This window comes from Homo sapiens, chromosome 7, assembly GCF_000001405.40.
Source record: "Homo sapiens chromosome 7, GRCh38.p14 Primary Assembly".
Taxonomy (NCBI): domain Eukaryota; kingdom Metazoa; phylum Chordata; class Mammalia; order Primates; family Hominidae; genus Homo; species Homo sapiens.
Window position 1 is genome coordinate 157,538,766 of NC_000007.14, and position 18,857 is coordinate 157,557,622.

The window sequence follows — 18,857 nt, forward strand, 5'->3', positions numbered from 1 at the left end:
AGGGTGCCCTATCCAGGTGGTGCCAGTGCACGGAGGGGCACGGAGGGCGTGTGTGGCATGGATGCGATCTGCGGCTCCTTACTGAGACTGTTTAATCCTGTTTTAAAGATGAAACCTCAGCGACACCCTGGCCCTTAGTACACATCTAATGCTGCAGATAAAGTAGCAACATGACCTGGAGTTCTAGGAAACGCCCACGCTTTGTTTCAGCATCTACAGTCCAGTGGCTTAGGAAACAAAAAGACGGATGGAAACAATTGTTCCTCCTCCCCAAATAAAGACCACCTGAATGTGAAATCAGAAGTTTAATATGACACAATTAAATATATTTGTATATCTCACACCGGAGGTTTCTCTTCAAACATAAGGAGTTAGAAATTACAAGTAGGCATATGCTTCCTATATTCAGATAAATTCATTTCGATTAATTAAATTCCAGATAGAGAGAAGTAATTTTGGAAAAGAAATGATAGCTATATTAAAGCAGATATTCATTACAATACCATGTAGAGACATAAGCAATATTTTGGCATCATTCTGTCCGCTCAGTAGGCCGTGTTCCCTCTGGTAGGGCCTTTGGAGAGTACCATCTATCTAAGATGGAGGAATGCTGTGGGAAGGGCGGGATGGAGGTGCGTTTTCTACGCTGAACCCCACACAGGAAATCTGCAGCCCACACAGCTGCCTCTGTGCCGCCTTCCATGTGATCATCTTGGTCAATGAAGTGAATTGTCCTATTTCTGGGGTAGGGGGTGATGGCGAATCGGATACTCAAATGTTATTTTGTCAAATCCGAATCATCTCTACGTGCTTAGGTTTACATGATGTCAAAACACGTGGTTCATTAAGTGATCCCGGGAAGAGGGGCAGGGCCGGTCGGCTGGTTTCTCACTTCCCTTCCAGGCTCTACGCAGTGCGTGCAGGTCGCCCTGATCTCCTCTCCCGGGAGGGAAATGCTCGCAGCCCTCTCCGAGTTGCCCTGATCTCCTTCTCTCCCAGGAGGGAAATGTCCCCTCTCTGGGGCCCCACAGGTCCGGGACGTGCCTGGAGGAGCCAGCGGGGGCCTGGCAGGGTTCGTGTGCTCCCGGGGACCCTCATAGCTTGCTCAATGCCCAGATTTGTTCTTCCTGGTTGTGGTTATCTCACAGGTAAGCATTCACGGGGGCATCTGTTTTCATAACGTAGAAATCAATATTTTAACATTAAAAACACATCTCAATGTTGGGGTGCATCTGTAACTTTGCAAAGGTGAGGTCAGGGGAGTGCCAGCCTCAAGTGGGCACTACTCATGGGGTGCACAGGTGTCTGCCCCCGGGGAGCCCCTGAATCACTCTGCTTGGGCTGACAGGTGTGGCTGACGGGGCCGTCCATGGTACCCGGCGCAGTGTTGATGGAGACGCAGCGAGGAGCTGTGATTGTCTCACTTGCCCCGAAGCTGCAGGACGTTCAGTTCTGTCCCTGCGGCTTCTCCCAATGATAAACTCTCTCAAAGAGAAATGCCAAACGTGCCTTGTGTGCCGGGCGGCCTCACTGAGTGCTGCCAGCTTCCCCGGCCACTCCTGCACAGTGGATCCACCCTCCCGAAAGTGGCAGATGACAAGCACACTCTTCCTGGAAACCGCCTCGAACGTGCTGGCTACTGCATTGTTAACACAACTTCAACCAAGAAGGTGAACGGGTGCTTTAAGAAAAAGTATTTTTTTTAAGCAAGTGAAAATTGATGAACCGATTCCCCTCCACCCGTAACTGGATTTTTCCACAAATCTCTCTTTATTATTGTTTGATTAAACAAAAATACACTTTTAACTGCTAAACTGCGCTGACTACGGGAGAGCTAAGGGCCCTATTACTATGCAGTTATAATAGAAGACACACAATTAAAGTCAGATCATGATTCCTGACAACATCCGTGGGGTGGGGGCTCCCCTGAGGCCCCTGAGGCTGCCGCTCACTGGGGAAGGGCCTTGAGGATGGCGTTCACCTCCTCAGCCACGGCTGTCAGCGCGAACTCAAACTGCTCCTGCAGGGCGAGAAACGAGAGAAGTGCCAATGAGAGCGGCGTCCCCCCGACTCCTGCCACAGCGTCGGCTCCCTGCAGATGAAAGCGGCGTCCCCCCTTCCCAACGCAGCATCAGCTCCCCGGGCCATTTCGCAGAAAGAAATTGTTTAGCAAAAAAAAGCAAAAGGCTCAGATTTCCTTAGAAAGGACAGTGTACCCTTCGGTTTGGGAGACACAACAGTGACACATGTTTGAGCTTCTCTCGCACTAGAAAAGCCTCATCTTTCCCCCTGCGGGGAGAAGCTGCCCACAGAAGCAGCGAGAAGGCAACGGTTCCTGCGTACTGCCCTGTCCTTCTGACCCTACGACTCCACGATTCCTCCTCACAGCCACCCGCCTTGGTGGACGGTGTGAGGGGCAGGTGCAGACACTACAAAGACGTGGCCATTAAAACTCACAATGAGGGCCATGCTTGGGCGTTTCCTGTCCTCGGAAGTGTGGTGTTATCATCGCTTTTGAAATCCACCTGTTACTCAGACCAAACCCACTCCGTTCCACATGCTGAGAAACCTCCCCTTGTCCACACCCCTCCTGGCTCAGGGCATGCGCGTCCACAGCCACTTGGGCAGGCACACCTGAGGGGCACCCCTCCCTCCACGGACAGCCTGCCGAGAGCATCCAGTGGGCACGAGGGACGGGTTCACGATGCCAGGACTATTCGCTCCTCCAAAGACCAGGGCTTAGCGCCGGAGAGCGTATCTGCCTCCTCTCCCACAGATGAGGTGGATAAATGCTCATTTCCTCTTGCTCTTCAGTTTCCACCTCAAAACACTGCTATGGAAAACTCCAAAGCAGGCCAGCAGCACTCCAGCTACAGCTGAGAACGCGTGGACGGAAACAACACTGTTACCCAGCTAACAACTTCTGGAAGGAAAGCCCTGTTGACAGCTCCAATACTTGATCATTTAAGGAACAGGGCAGCCCCAAGCCAAAAACGATGATTAATTTCCAGTTTTGAATGTTTAGTGCATAACAGAAAGATGGAAAATAGCTTGAACCGAGACATCAGAAAGTCAAAATAACGTGATGCTCATTCTGAGACAAAAGACAGTTTCTCCTTTCATATTCTTCTGCCCTGATGCTGACGGAATGGTCTGCTGGACTCTACCTGCCTTTGGTAGTGTGGCCACGCGGCCTCTTAGTGTACGTGTTAGAACCTATTATTAAAGGAGTCAACTGAGCCTGGCGGCCACCTCAGGGTGGGACCCGGGGAGATGTGTCTGCCTGCGCCCCGTCTCTCTCCCCTCTGCACTGCCAGAGGGCACCTTTCTGCTCCTCGAAATTACGTGGGAGCTGCCCCTGTGGGGGCAGGGGCTCAGGTCGGGCTGTGCCGGGAAGGTCCGCAAACGTTCTGTCTAAATGCTGACTCCTGCCCCTCCCACACCAAGTGTGTTCGATGAAGGTGCTGTTTAGGGGATCCAGGCTAAATACACAACAGCCATTCAGACCATTTCTTCCCCAGTGCTGGGCTGCCAGTGCCCTGAGGCTCTGTGAGGGCTTGGAGATGCCAAAAATTAAGCGTGGCTTTTTGGGAAGCGAAATGCAAGTGTCATCTATCTATTTACATCTTCCGACACACTGGAAATCTAGCCTGAGAAATGATCTTTAAAGGGAAGAATAGAGAAGCGCTGCCGCCCCGCAGCCCCATCATGCAGTGGAGGCTGGAAAGCGCTCCACCCCCAGGGCCAGTGCTAATCCTGCAGAGCTGCCCAGCGGCCTCTCAGGCAGCCACTTGCGGCATCCAACAGGAAAGCCCAATATCCATGCTATGGGGGAGGGGACGGGCAGGGGGAACTCCACCAGGGTCTGGATCATAACTGTTTCCAACACTGCACAGTCACCGGACAGAGCAGCAGGAAGGGAACCGGGCCACAGAGACAGGTGCTCTACTCACTGGCCATGTTTGGCAATTGTTACCGCACTGTTTAGCTCAAAGGAGAAGCTCCACCGGGCGTGTGGGCTGGTGTGTGCCGTGCACCTTACTCAGAGCCCACTGGGCCCTGTGGGCGTCGGCTGGCAGGAGGAGGGGGTGCTTCCCGGAGGGGTGCTGTGAGCCTCAGAGCTGGCGTTTGAGGGGACAGGGGCTTGTGGATCATCTTGTCCTTTATCGTGAAGTGTCAGCTGCATGCGGCGCCGGGATGTAGCACCCAAGCCCTGTGGGTCCTCGAAGGTCTGTGGCCACGTTCTGAGCAGAATCCGCTGAGCAAGTATCACCTAGAACCATGCTCTAGATCCCGGGTAGGCTGGGAAAACCCCAGCATTTGGATAACTTTTATGATAGGAGTTTATTTCAAAGGAGTAAAATACAACAGCAACAGATGACCAGATGACCATCTTAGCCTAAACTGCATCTGAGTGCCAGCAGTCTGAACAGGAGGGGTGCAAAGCCTCCTGGGTTTGCAAAGACAGGACATTCGAGAGGCCGAGTCAGGACATTCTAAGCAAGAAAGCATTTTTGAACACATACTACAATAAAATTTGAGGCCTGTTGGAGAAAGATCCCACGGCTTCTTCCAGTAGAACTGCACCCGGTGGAGAAGTGGCTGAGGTGGGACGGCCGAGCCAGGCTCAGGCCAGGTCAGGCTGTCTGGTCACCACCCCTGGGTCCACGCTGGACAGCGAGTGGGAACGCCCCTTCTCAGGCTGTCCTGGGACAACCACGGGGTGCCCACATAGTTGGTGGAGGGATGGAGGCTGCAGGAGCTGCCATGGCTCTCGGACACCCGCTGCTGGGGTAAGGGTCAGCCAGGGCTGGAAGCCGTGGAGCTTTGTGGAGGCTGCTTGGATTTCTATTTGTGCTTATGTTTATATTTGTAATCCTTCAGGTGTAAACAAAGGCCTGGGTGGAGATGTACAAATAGGAACCTTAAAGAGGACCTCAGTGATCGTGTCTCTGAGCCACCTGTGCCCTCCAGGAGGCTGCACACATAACTGCGGGGCAGCTTCCCCCAGCACCTCTCAAAAGGGGGTGAGGATGACACACCTTCCTGTGTCTGTCACCTTCAGCTTCTCTTTTCACAAAAGTAGACAAGCTCCAAGCCACACCGTGAGAGTTGAGCCCTGCCCAAGTTAGGGACTAGGCATTGTGTGTGTGTACACCAGGGCGGAGGGACAGAGACGGAGATGGAGAGAGATGGGAGACAGATGGAGAGAGACAGAGAGAGGTGGAGAGAGATGGAGAGCGGTGGAGAGAGACAGAGAGAGGTGGAGAGAGACGGAGAGAGGTGGAGAGAGACGGAGAGAGGTGGAGAGAGACGGAGAGAGGTGAAGAGAGGCGGAGAGAGGTGGAGAGAGATGGAGAGAGGCGGAGAGAGGCGGAGAGAGACGGAGAGAGGTGGAGAGAGACGGAGAGAGGTGGAGAGAGATGGAGAGCTACGGAAATGAACAGTTTCAATGGCACGGGAGGCCTTGGGAGAAGTGGGCTGCGGGCCTGGAGCTGATGTGTGAGCGTGGACTGCGCTACGCGTGACAGAATCCGTGTCTGTCACTCCGGTGCTGTGCTGGGTTGGGAAGATAGGAGCATGTCTGGGCAACGCCCTGCTTCTGGGACGGAGGACAACACCGGGTACGTCTGAGGAGGAGGCTGAGGTCAGGCTTTAGGACAAGGGGCTGGTGCAGAAGAAAATGGGGAAGAAACTAAAATGCAGATGTGAGACGGCAGGTTGGGGAGAGTGACGCACGGGCAGCACGTGGACATGCGAGGGGCCTCCCGTCCAGTGAGGAGGGGGCGGGGCCTCCCGTCCAGTGAGGAGGGCATGGGGCTTCTTGGGTGTGGGACACACTCATCACTGGCTCTACTTCTGGAACTGACAGATGTAAAAGAGGAAACACCATTGTGGGCAGGAAAGTGTTAAGGTCCTTGGTGAAATGGGAAACTCTTGAGACGTGTGGAGGGAAGGAAGGGAAGAACCCATCATCTACCACAGAGGCATGGACGGGAGAGAGGGGTGATTTCAGCCTTGTCTGGCATCCCTTGTGTCTGCTGAGGGTGTGTGCACACGGGAATGTGTGCGGGTGTGTGTGCGTGCATGCAGCTGTGTGTGGATGTGCATCGTGTGTGGGTGTGTAGGTGTGTGTGGGTGTGTGCAGCAGTGCAGGTGTGCATGGGTGTGTACAGGTGGGTGTGTGGATGTGTGTGGGGGTGTGCACAGCTGTGCAGGTGTGTGGGTGTGCAGGGTCCATGACTGTGTGTGGGTGTGCACTGTGTGTACACCTGTGGAGGTGTGTGGGTGTGTGCAGTGTGCATGGGTGTGTGTGTGGGTGTGCACCCCGTGGGTGGGTGTGTAGGTGTGTGTGGGGTGTATGCATGGGTGTGTGCAGGTGTGTGGGTGTGTGCAGTGTGTGGCTGAGTGGTGTTTGTGGGTGTCTGTGGGTGTGTGTGCAATGTGTGGGTGTGCGCAGTGTCCGTGGCTGTGTGTAGGTGTGCACTGTGTGCAGGTGTGTGCGTGTGAGCAGTGTGCACGGCTGTATGTGGGTGTGTACCACATGCGTGGGTGTGTAGGTGTGTGTGGGGGGTGTGCCTGGGTGTGTGCATGGGGATGCGCAGTGTGTGGCTGAGTGTGGGTGTGCACTGCGTGAGTGGGTGTGTAGGTGTGTGTGGATGTATGCATGGGTGTGTGCAGGTGTGTGGGTGTGCAGTGTCCCTGGCTGCGTGTGGGTGTGCGCAGTGTGCAGGTGTGTGGGTGTACACAGTGTGTGTGGCTGAGTGTGCCGCCTCTCTGGCGGCTCGTGTGGTGTCAAAGCCCGCACTGCCGTTCAGCCCCTGGGTGCCTGGACTTCTCTTCTAAGATGATGGAGTTTGTGGTCGGGGACTGAGTTGCCAAATGCTCAGGTGGGCGCTGGTGAAACATTTTCTATTCGACCCAAATTCCAGGGAGGAAACAGCTCTCCTGAGGGGCATCTTTTTTACCACAACGATGATGTTTTGCTGTCAGGGCCTGCGGTCATCCTGGTCATGGTCTCCGGGTGCTCACCCTCGACGGCTCGCTCTTTCCTTGTCTTCAGTTCCAAACCAGGCGACGTGACTTCCTCCGTTCAAAGGAGCTGCAGGCGCCTCCTCTTGGCTTCGTAGAAGCAAGCATTCAGATTGGACAGCAGCATTTTGCCCAAATAATTTTTCTATCTTTGTGAAACTGAACTTGTAGGGGAAGTTTAGTCTCGGGGCGATGTTGGGCAGCGCAGTCACGGATTAAGATGTGATGGTGACTTTCGCATGGTTCCATTTCCTTATGCCTTGAAGTTCCAGGAGCTGAATTTATGTGCATGCTCCAAGACAGCTCCTGAACACACACCCTGAGGAAGAGGGTGAACTCCTCCGGACGCCCAGTCCAAGAAGGAAGCAGCTAGGAAGCTGACTCTGTTATCTGGAGTGCAGAAAACGGAGCTTCGGGTCACCAAGTGATCTGGGCAACAGGGCTGGGGTGTGTATGTGTTATCATCTTGCTATTTATTTATTTATTTATATTTAAGTTCTGGGATACATGTGCAGGACGGGCAGCTTTGTTACATAGGTAAACGTATGCCATGGTGGTTTGCCGCACCCATGAATCCATCACCGAGGAATTAAGCTCCGCATGCATTAGCTATCATCCTGATGCTCCCCATCCCCCTTCCCCACTGACAGGCCCCAGTGTGTGCTATTCCCCTCCCAGTGTCCATGTGTTCTCATTGTTCAGCTGTCATTTATAAGTGGGAACAGGCAGTGTTTGGTTTTCTGTTCCTGTGTTTGTTTGCTGAGGATGATGGCTTCCAGCCCCATCCATGTCGCTGTAAAGGACATGATCTCATTCCTTTTTATGGCTGCATAGTCTTCCATGGTGTATATGTGCCACATTTTCTTTATCCAGTCTATCATTGATGGGCATTTGCGTTGGTTCCATGTCTTTGCTGCCATCTTGCCATTTAAAAATGGAGTAGAACGGAAGACCTGGCATGTAATGATTGTGACTGTGGCTTCCTCTTTCTCTGATGAGTCCCAAAGCACCTCACTTCACGAAGGGTCCTGGGACCACCGTTGTGCACCTCAGCCATCTGTGTGCCAGGAAGGGCTTGTTCTGGCGAACAGGATACATACAATGGGAGGCTTGGAGGGTTTGCTCCTTGTGATTTTTTTCACTTTTGGCAAAGATATCCCCTTGCGATGATTTTGCCCAGACCCATCCTAAAGCCAGTGTGTGTTCTGGGCAAACTCACCTGTCTGGAGGGAAGAGGCTGCCTGACAGGCAGGTGTTCTGGGTGAACTCACCCGTCTGGAGGGAGAGGCTGCCTGAGAGGCAGGCAGAGGTGTGGGGAGGAAACTACTTTGAATTTAGATTTCCTGGGGCTTATCCCAGAGTGGGCCTCACTGTGGAGTCACGAACACACCTGCCTGAGGTGGCTCTCGCTGACCATTCCTGGTAATGTGTGCCCCGTTCTCCCAGCCTCCATGGCCTCCTCTGTCCAGTTCAGAGCCACCTGAAGCTCACGGGATGCAGGGCCAGCCAGAAGGTGGTATGTGCCAGCCTTGACAAGGCCACCTCTTTTACTGCTAGGCAGCCAGTACAGGAGGATGGTCAGTGCGGCAAGATGGACCCTTCCAAGGTTGGACCCTTCCATGGCACAAAACCTGGAACTCCTTGGTACAGAGAGGCCAGACACACGTCAACCTCACGTCCAGTTCCTGTTGAGCCAAAGCTCATGAGAACTTTTTTGTTTTGATGGCTGTTGCTGCTGGAACAGCAGCTGTCCCGTGTCACCTCCTCTCTCGACAGCCTCGCAACACATGCCGAATGCTGTTGTGAACAAGCAGAAGGAAAGACAGACATGTGCACAGTCCCAGCTTCTCCCCGCGGGACACTGAGTAACCACACAGGGAAAAATCATCACGCAGCCACGCAGAAGCCTCCAGACACACACGCCTCAGTGGGTGTAGATGTGCCGCTCCCTCGTGAGGGACAGTCCTGCCCCCTGCCCTGACCATGGGGGACGTGGGACACGCCTAGACAAGAGACGTTCCACAAAGAGCAAGGCCGCTGGCGCTCTAGAAGACCTCACAGCCGTGAAGCGTCCCGGACAGCAGAGGAACCATGATGCCCCTCGCGTGGCCGCCCTGGGCGTGTCCTGCTCCAGGGGAAGCTCCCTGGGGGGGCGCGTAGGGCATCGCTGGGCCTGTTGGTCAGTGGTTTGCATCGGTGCTGACTTCCTGGGTTTGGTCACTGCGCTGTGGTTATGTGAGGTGTTCACATTTGGGGAAACTTGGTGGAGGGTTGGTGGATTATTTCTGCATTTTATTTATATTTTTTGCTTGGGAGGCTGAGGCAGGAGAATCGCTTTAACCTGGGAGGTGGAGGTTGCAGTGAGCTGAGATCGTGCCACTGCACTCCAGCCTGGGTGACAGAGTGAGACTCTGTCTCAGAAAGCAACAACAACAACAAACAAACAACAACAACAACAAAAACCGAATAAAATATAGTGTCCCAAGACTTACAAAGAACTTTCACAAAATCACGTGATGGTCCTACCAGTTGCACAGAGAGGGCGAAATGAAACCAAGGAGCAGAGAGGCCAAAGGCACACCAACCCCAGCCTCAGGGCCAGAGAGACCAGACACACGTCAACCTCACGTCCAGTTCTTGTTGAGCCAAAGCTCACCAGAATTTTTTTTGTTTTGACCTCTGTTGCTGCAAACTGGGCCTCTTCAGCAAGCATGAGGGATTTTGGGTGCTCAAGGATGCTGTGCCCTGGGGGCCTCCACAAAGCGCAGGCCCCGGAGAGGCCGGGCAGCGCTCAGAGAGCTCAGAACATCCTCCTGAGGGTTCTGGGATTTATCGTCAACCTCTTTCTACAAAAATGCAGCGTTCTCCCCCCACCCCCAAATCTAGTGAATGGAAAGAGCCAGTGGATCGAGTTCCTAGGACTTGAGATGTGGCTGCATCTGGAGGTGTTGCAGGAAACGCCAGTGGACCTTTGGGGGCCCAGAAGTGACCCCGCCCATGCAAGGCCGGCATGGACGAGGCCGGTCAGAGCAGAGCAATCGGTGTGCGGCTCACATTAAACCAGGCCCTCCCCGTGCTCCTCTCAGGAACACGGCCGCAGAGAGGCACCTTGAATGGGTCTGCGTCCCGGAGGAGAGACTGACAGTACCTTCGTCTGGACCATGCCGGGTCTCTGGTCCCTCAAGTGCTCCAGGGTCGCTGCGATATCAATCTCTTTAGCACCTGCAACAAACCACAAATTGGGCTGAGTTCAGAGCACAAGATAATCCATGCCACATCTGTCAATCTCCTGCTAGCCACGTTCCCTCTGGGCTGAGAGGCCAATTGAAAATTATTACGCTCATCCCTCAGCCGGCTGGCAGGCGGCTGCAATTTCAGTGTTCATGTAGAAGACGAAGGCAGGGGCAGCTTTCATTAGCATTAATTCCAGAAAGCTGGGCTGAAAAATTGTTATAAGATGCTTACCAACAGCAGGCCGTCACCGTCAGAAACCAAAGCTGTACTGGTTTTCTTTTCTTTCTTTTCTTTTTTTTTTTTTTTGTGACACTTCAGGGAATGTAGTACCTCATAGGGAGCCATATACGAACTTTAACTTTGATTGCATAGGATTACTTTTTTATTTAAAGAAATAAAAAATCAGATTAATTTAGATTAATGGACTCAACCTTAATATTGGCTTTTAACTGTAGAGTTTTCTGCTTTTTAAACTCAAATGTTCCACATTTTGGGACTGGGTAAAGGTGCCCGTAGCTACTCCCAGCTCAGTGGTTCACCAAAAGCTCCATCCTCCTGTAGACAGCACCGATCTCACGGCAGGTGATGCTGGCTGCACTCAAATCATGCTACTTAAGTTTTAAATTTTAAGCTAATAATTAATTCAGCACATATTGTTATTTTTCCATTTTGCTAGGTTCTTTAGTAGACAGATAATGAGCAAGACAGGGTCCCGACCTCTCCAGCGTGTTGCAGTTGAGAGGGGCAGACAGGACACAGCCGCCAGGATGAGAAACACAGAGAAGTGTGGGATGAGGAGCAGGAGGCAGCTCCGAAGCGGGTCAGAATCCCACAGGGAAACCCACATGGGTGCCAGGCACTTCATGTCACCTCTACCGAACACGGTGAACTGAGAACTGTGGTCACCCGAGTCGCAGATGAGGAAATAGAGACGCGGCCAATGGCATGTCCAAGCCACAGACAGGAAGAAGCCGCAGCCATTGGAACCCCAACTACCGTGGGCAGGACAGCGCTGGCCGAAGACCTGAGGAGGCCCGGGTGGCCCAGAGTCAGGTGGTCCCCAGGCCTTTCTCTCCGGCCGCAACCTGAGTGCACACCACATTCCTCGCCCAGCGAATCAGGAGAGAAGCTTTAAAATTCCCGAGGTTCCTCAATTTCCTTTCCCTGTGGTTCTGTGGCTTCATGGGGTGGCAACTGTGAAGCCAGTGGGGGCTCAGGCTCCAGGAGGATCATCCCAGCAGGGTAGCAGGTGCCTGCGAAGCACCTCCAAGTCACAGCAGGTGCCTGCGAAGCACCTCCAAGTCAGAACTGCGGGCAGCTAGGAGGGAACGGCAGGGGTGGCGGGGAGGCCTGGGGAGGACACACGTTGGAACCAAATGTCATGTTTGCATGAAGGGAGAACAAAGCAGGTGGTGTGGAGAATCTGGCTGTCAGGACAGCCCCACAGCGGCTCCACCAGGGAGGCCGGGCGCGAGATGACCACCCCACCTGCCCTGCCTGGCTGGTGGGTCTCCCCACCTTTGAGCACAGAAGATGGAGACACTGGCATTTCCTGGCAGGAACAGGGCTCGTGGTGATGGGAGCCACTGTCGGGGCTAAGCTGGCCGTCCCTCCAGCTCCCATCCCCTGGTTAAAGGACCCCATTCTCCTGGGCAGGGAACACCATGAGGGCCACCACCTTTTAAGCCAGAGCCTCTGCAGGCATAAAAGGCGGCTTTCTTTTGCGGCAGCCCGTGAGCTCGGCCACCAGGGAACTAGCTGGCAGCTCACGCGGGTGGAAGGCGGGGTCAGGTGCACGGGTTTGCTTAATTGCTCCTTTTGGGTCTCCAAAGGCCTAAAAAGTCGACAAGGCTACAGTAAATACAATCTTGTTTTAAAAGAAATCCATAAATTTAAAACAGCCTGACACAAACGGGTGAGTTTGTGAAATGGTAGAGAGGAAGGGAGGAAGCCAAAGGACCCCTCCTGCGGCCATGACTGTGGCGGCCAAGGAAGCCGCTTCCTCTCCTCCTCCTCCTCCCACGGACACTCCTGCAGTTGGTGCCTACACAGCAGAATCATGGCAGAAACGACGCAGGGGAACTGGCCTCTCTGAGACAAGCTTGTCTTATGAAAGTCAAGTCCCTGCATGGAGAGCGCCAGGTTAGTCTCAGTGTCACTGCACAAACATTCGTGCTTGAGCCAAAACAACTCAGAAATGCCCATATTGTCTGTTGCACCCGTGACTGTACCTTTGGTAGGAGCTGTGGCTTCTGGACACATTGAACCCAGAACTGTGCTGCAATTTAAATGTGAAAAATACCACAACTGTAGGCAGAAGGATAAATAAGCTGCAATTCACAGCATCTTTCAAGCATCTCAAGTTGGTATAGAGGCTCAAGCTAAACACAGACCCCAGCTGGGGCTCACCCAAAGGAAGGCCGCTGGCCACCATGTACCCCACAGACACTGTGCAGCCCACAGCCAGCATGCACCCCACACACCCCACTATCACACACCCCACACACCCCACAGCCACCACACACCCCACGCACCCCACAGCCATCACACACCCCACAGCCACCACACAACCCACAGCCACCACGCATCCCACAGCCACCACGCACCCCACACACCCCACAGCCATCACACACCCCACGGGCACCACACACCCCACAGCCACCACACACCCCACAGCCACCACACACCCCACAGCCACCACACAACCCACAGCCACCACACAACCCACAGCCACCATGCACCCCACAGCCAGCACGCACCCCACAGCCACCACGCACCCCACAGCCAGCACGCATCCCACAGCCACCACACACCCCACAGCCAGCACGCACCCCATGGGCACCACGCACCCCACAGCCACCACACACCCCACAGCCAGCATGCACCCCATGGGCACCACGCACCCCACAGCCACCACACAACCCACAGCCACCACGCACCCCACAGCCACCACACAACCCACGGCCACCACACACCCCACAGCCAGCACCCAACCCACAGCTGGCACACACCCCATGACCACCACACACTCCACAGCCACCACATACCCTACAGGAACCATGCACTCTATGGCCACTGCACACCCTGTGGTCACTGACCACACACCCCACAGCCACCGTGTACCCCACGGCCACCACGCACCACATTCTGCTTGATTGGCTCTTTAGAAATCATCCAGAAGAAATGGCAAGACGTTTGCTGTTTAATTACCACGTGTAAAAAACAATAACATAACTAAATAGCTTCCCGATAAAAATAATTCTATGTATTTTTACATATTTCTATGTACAGGGAAACCTGCCCTCTCATTTAGAAGGGAAGTCATCGTGCAAAGCGGCTGGCCGTGTGAATAATAGCTCAGAAACGGGGAAATGTACAGGCTCCATCTAACACTGGGTCTCGTAACTCCTCACACACCCCAACTGCTGACCTCAGCGAGATGCTGACCTGGACCACGTGGGGAGGGGATGGGCCGAGGTGCAGGATGAGGGAGGCTCCATGTGCTGGGGCCTCACACCCACGTTTAGAGCACGCTATTTGTCTTTGGCCATACGCTGCTGGGTTTGGAAACCGGGTTCTAATACACAAAATGTATTACAACCAGTCTTGTGTAATTAAAAACGTAAGATGTCTATTGGCTTTTAAGAAATTTTCCCAAAACCAAAAAAGGTGAGTTAAAGGCAGGAGTGCTGGGGTTGCCGACAGACGTCGAGTTGTGTCACATGACGTGGGGAAGCTCGGGCTACAGTGCTGAGGTGTGGGTTTCCGCTCCGCGTGCCTATGCTGGGCCTGGCCGGGAAGCTGGATGGGCCAGCCTCACCTCTGGAGGGGCTTTCCTCCCGTTTCCAGGGTCCAGTGAGGGTCCAGTGAGATGACGCATGATTACGTGTAATTTACAAAACACATTTGATGCTCAGGCAACCTCACAGATCTCGTGAGCAAACTCTTCTGGGAGACAGTGAAATCCAATCAGTTATGTTCTCTGAAGCCTTCCAGGCACGAGGACAGCAGCGGCTTCTACGGGGACCCCTCAGCTTTCTGTCTCAGGAGTCATGAACCTCAGGAGAAGCAAGTGTGGTATAAATAGTCTGACTCAAGAGACGGGGAGCTCTCAGCCCTCCTGAGACATCACGTTGAGGGTTCATCTGGGCCACAGAGTTAAAGCCTCTCTCCGTTAGGTGGCTTTAGGGTACTTGCTTTCAGTCCCTGAAACTTCTTTTTTAAAACGACTGTCAACAGCAATGTCATCTGAAGGGCTGTGTGTATGATGGTGCTAGTGGGAATCCTGGGAGACTGTCCCTCACTGGCAACCGCCCTCCCGAATTCTGGCCGGAGCCATGAAGCCGTCAGGAGCTGTAGCAGGTGTGGGCGAGGAAGGGGCTCTCCCTCCGCGTGCACTGATCTCTGGAGATGGCTGTTGCTGGCGGCTGTCTCCCAGAGTGGCGTCGTCGTCCTCACATAAAATGTGATGGATAAAGTCTCTCTTATTTCATGACATCGTGGCTCCCTCTCAGGCTGTGGTTTGTGAGGAAAAGTGAAAAAAGGGAAGGAGAAAGACTTGCCGGGCCATCCCCAGACAACATGGGGAGAACCGGGCGGAAATACAAAATGACACGGGAGCGTGCCTCCGAGTCGCGCTGAGCCCGAGACCAAAACTGAAGAGCGGAGGAAACGGAGTTAACGCTTAAAAAGTGTGCAGCACCAGCATTAGGTCCATAATGATGTAGCAGGAAAATCAACTGTCTGCTGTGGACGGCTCCTGCTTCTTGCATGCCAGGATTAAGACTAACTCCTTACTTCAAGTGTGGTGGAGACAGAAGCTTTCATAGAGCCCATGCATGAGATCTTTCATAAGGGACAGACCCTGGATAGCCAGGCTCAGGCTGGGCGCCGTATCCTGCCCGCTCTGGTGCCCTCCTGAGCATGGGTACGGCCAGGCCGGGCGCCGGATCCTGCCCGCTCTCGTGCCCTCCTGGGCATGGGTGCGGCCAGGCCGGGCGCCGGATCCTGCCCGCTCGCGTGCCCTCCTGGGCATGGGTGCGGCCAGGCCGGGCGCCGGATCCTGCCCGCTCTCGTGCCCTCCTGGGCATGGGTGCGGCCAGGCCGGGCGCCGGATCCTGCCCGCTCTCGTGCCCTCCTGGGCATGGGTGCGGCCAGGCCGGGCGCCGGATCCTGCCCGCTCTCGTGCCCTCCTGGGCATGGGTGCGGCCAGGCCGGGCGCCGGATCCTGCCCGCTCTCGTGCCCTCCTGGGCATGGGTGCGGCCAGGCCGGGCGCCGGATCCTGCCCGCTCTCGTGCCCTCCTGGGCATGGGTGCGGCCAGGCCGGGCGCTGGATCCTGCCCGCTCTTGTGCCCTCCTGAGCATGGGTGTGGCCAGGCCGGGCAGGGGCACAACGTTGGCATTGATAAAGCACCTGCTGGGTGGGTAGGGTGGGATAGGGTGGGCGTGTGTCCCCCTTCACTTGATAAAAGGCTTTTCTTAGTGTCAAAGGATTCATTTAAAGCCTCCACTGCATAGAAAGCTCCCTCTAGTGCATTTAAAATAGAATTCTCTCTTGAAAAATCCAATTTTGCTGACAAGGTGAAGGAGCAGCTAACGAAAGTTAAATTCCAGGGAAACAGAAAGGCCCAGTGGTGTGACGCTGACATCGAAAAGCCTGCAAACAGTCGAGGAGTCAGCGCACACACAAAGAAAATCCAGATGGAAGGAAAGAAAGGAACCTTAACGATGTCTACCGGGGACAGAGCGTGGGGTCCACGGAGAAGTCCCAGGCGTTTTCCACCTAAGAAGCATCATGGTGATTCAAACACCAGGGAAATGAATGGACTCAGTGGAGCCACTTTCTGCTACTTGACCAGGTTTAATTCGAGTTGTCCATGTCGGGAATCTACAGGGAAGTGACGCAGGCTGCCATCTTGCTCAGCACCCCAGTGTGGCGGGCGCCCCAGTGTGGCGGGCGTCCCAGTGTGGTGAGCACCGGCCAAGTCAGTTTGGGTTGGGCTGCACCCTCGTGCCTGGGACACCCAGGAAGACCCACCTCTCTCGTGTTAGTGGACCAGGGAGGCAGCCACAGACACCAGGCTCTGCGTGCTCCGCTGGCACCCGAATGGCCACTGGGTACCATCCCGTGCCAAGCTCAGCAAATGTAAATCGCTCTCATTGTTATTTTCTAATTCACTCAGGGCTCATTGGGTTAAAAGTTTATACATTGGTTAAATACATTTGTAAGACAACAGAGGGTTTTTTTTTAGCTTTAGATAAAAAATGTTAACCATTAAACAAAAGCCATTAAAAGAATATTAGTATTAAAGTATTAAAACTATCTGTCACAATGAAAGAATCCATTTGAAGTTAAAGAAAACCAAGCAAATATGCCACCGGTGTCTCTTTCCAAGGCTTGTTTGATTTCTCCTGGACTCTGGCTCTTGGCTGACCGAGCTGTGTGATTCAGCTCATGGCCCTAGACCACATCCTCCCAGTAAACAGTGAACACGGACGGATGGGGTGTGCCGGGAGGGCCATCGTCGCCGTCTCCTGACCGTCATTCTTCCGCATGGCTTCCGGCAGCCTGTTCATGGATAATGACTGCATGAGCGCAGGTAAGTTTTATTACAATTTTACTCAGAGGTTTTGCAAACTGCAGGGATGCAATGTATTCTTTTTTTCTTGAAAGTAAAAACGACAATGTGTGCCAAGTGTTCAAGAGAGAGAGGCCTTTACTTGCAGGAGAAAATTTTCTCAACTCTACCCTCTGGAAGAACTGAAGAAAAGCTTGGTCCTAACTAAATGCATTCAAATACATGACGAATGGTGATTATTAAGAATCCAGATAAGGAACGAAGTGGAACAGTTCCCGTGCCCCAGGAGCGCAGAGCTCCTCACTCACCCAGGCTGCGATGTTTCTGCTTTGTCTGGAGCTCACGCTGTGGGAGGACTGGGCTCTGAAGGGCACAGACACCCCATCTTTCTAGCTCTCCATGTCAGCCGAGGTGACCCCAGAACTGGACTGGGTGCAGAGGTCAAGCTAGAGCCCCTCACGTCTGGCAGAGCAAAACTCGGCTCAAGGTAACTGTGGTTGGGGATGCTCTGGGTGCCCCACACGGTTCAAGCCCTCCCCAGACCTGGGTCTCAGGGATGCCACTTGGCACTGACTACACACTACACGCATGCAGATACATGTACATGGGTACACAGGCATGCACACACCACACAACACTCACCCACACTCACATCATACATATGCACATGCACACACACAGAGGCATGCACACACCCAAACAACACACACACCCACACTCACACTCACGTCATACATATGCACATGTGCACACACACAGGCATGCACACACCACACAACACTCACCCACACTCACATCATACATACGCACATGCACACACACACAGGCATGCACACATCACACAACACTCACACCCACACTCATGTCATACATACACAGATGCACACACATACACACACAGGCATGCACACACCACACAACACTCGCATCCACCCTCACGTCATACATATGTACATGCACACACATACACATTCATGCACACATCCAAACACACACACCCCACACATCATACATATGCACATGCACACACACACATTCACACAAACATGCACACCCCACACTCACATGTCACATACACACATGCCCACACACATATACACATGTGTGCACATGCCCACACTACACTCACACCCCACACTCATACATATGCACATGCACACACACATGCACACGCCCACAACATGCACATCCCACACTCATGTCATACATATGCACACACAAATATACACACAGCCATGCACACACTCACACAACATACATATCCATGCTCACATGTCATACATATGCATGCACACACATATACACAGGAATGCACATGCCCACATGACATGCACACCCTACGCTCATGTCATATGCACACACATGCACACACAATGTCATACATATGCACATGCATGCACACACATATATACAGGCATGCACACATCCACACAAGATGCACACCCCACACTCATGTATCATACATACACACACACACACAGATATACACACAGGCATGCACATGCTCACACAACATGCACACCCACACTCATATATACTCACATGCATGCACACATATATACACAGGCATGCACACACCACACAACACACACACCCCACTTACATAGGTCATACATATGCACACACACACACAGGCATGCACACACCACACAACACTCACATCCTACATCACATGTGCACACAAACACCCACACTTCACACTCTCACACAATACACCCCACATCACACATGCACATCCTTTATACCTACATTCAGGATCACACACATACATCATACACATGCATACACACAGAACACTCACAGCTCACACTGCACACAAACATTCCACACCCATATCACACACTCATACACCACACACATGCACACACCTATGTGCATGCACACACAGGTACACACGGCATGCATAGGCCCACACAACACCCACACCCATCACACACACTCCCACACACACACACACACACACTCTCCTGGGCCTTCAGTGCTGAGTTTTTACTTCACACCTTTCCTGGATG

The 18,857-nt window shown here is 53.4% G+C and overlaps 1 protein-coding gene across 8 annotated transcripts in view; it reads right to left on the reverse strand.

Annotated features, from left to right (window-relative positions):
- Positions 291-18,857, reverse strand: part of PTPRN2 (protein tyrosine phosphatase receptor type N2) — a 1,048,768-nt gene continuing 1,030,201 nt past the window's right edge. For all 8 annotated transcript variants that reach the window (XM_047420678.1, NM_130842.4, XM_047420679.1 and 5 more), the window contains 2 exons: positions 10,181-10,254; positions 291-2,020 (listed from right to left, as the gene is read on the reverse strand). In XM_047420678.1, the coding sequence (XP_047276634.1) occupies positions 1,949-2,020; positions 10,181-10,254 (146 nt within the window). In that variant the 3' untranslated portion in view covers positions 291-1,948. The remainder of the gene's footprint in view (positions 2,021-10,180; positions 10,255-18,857) is intronic.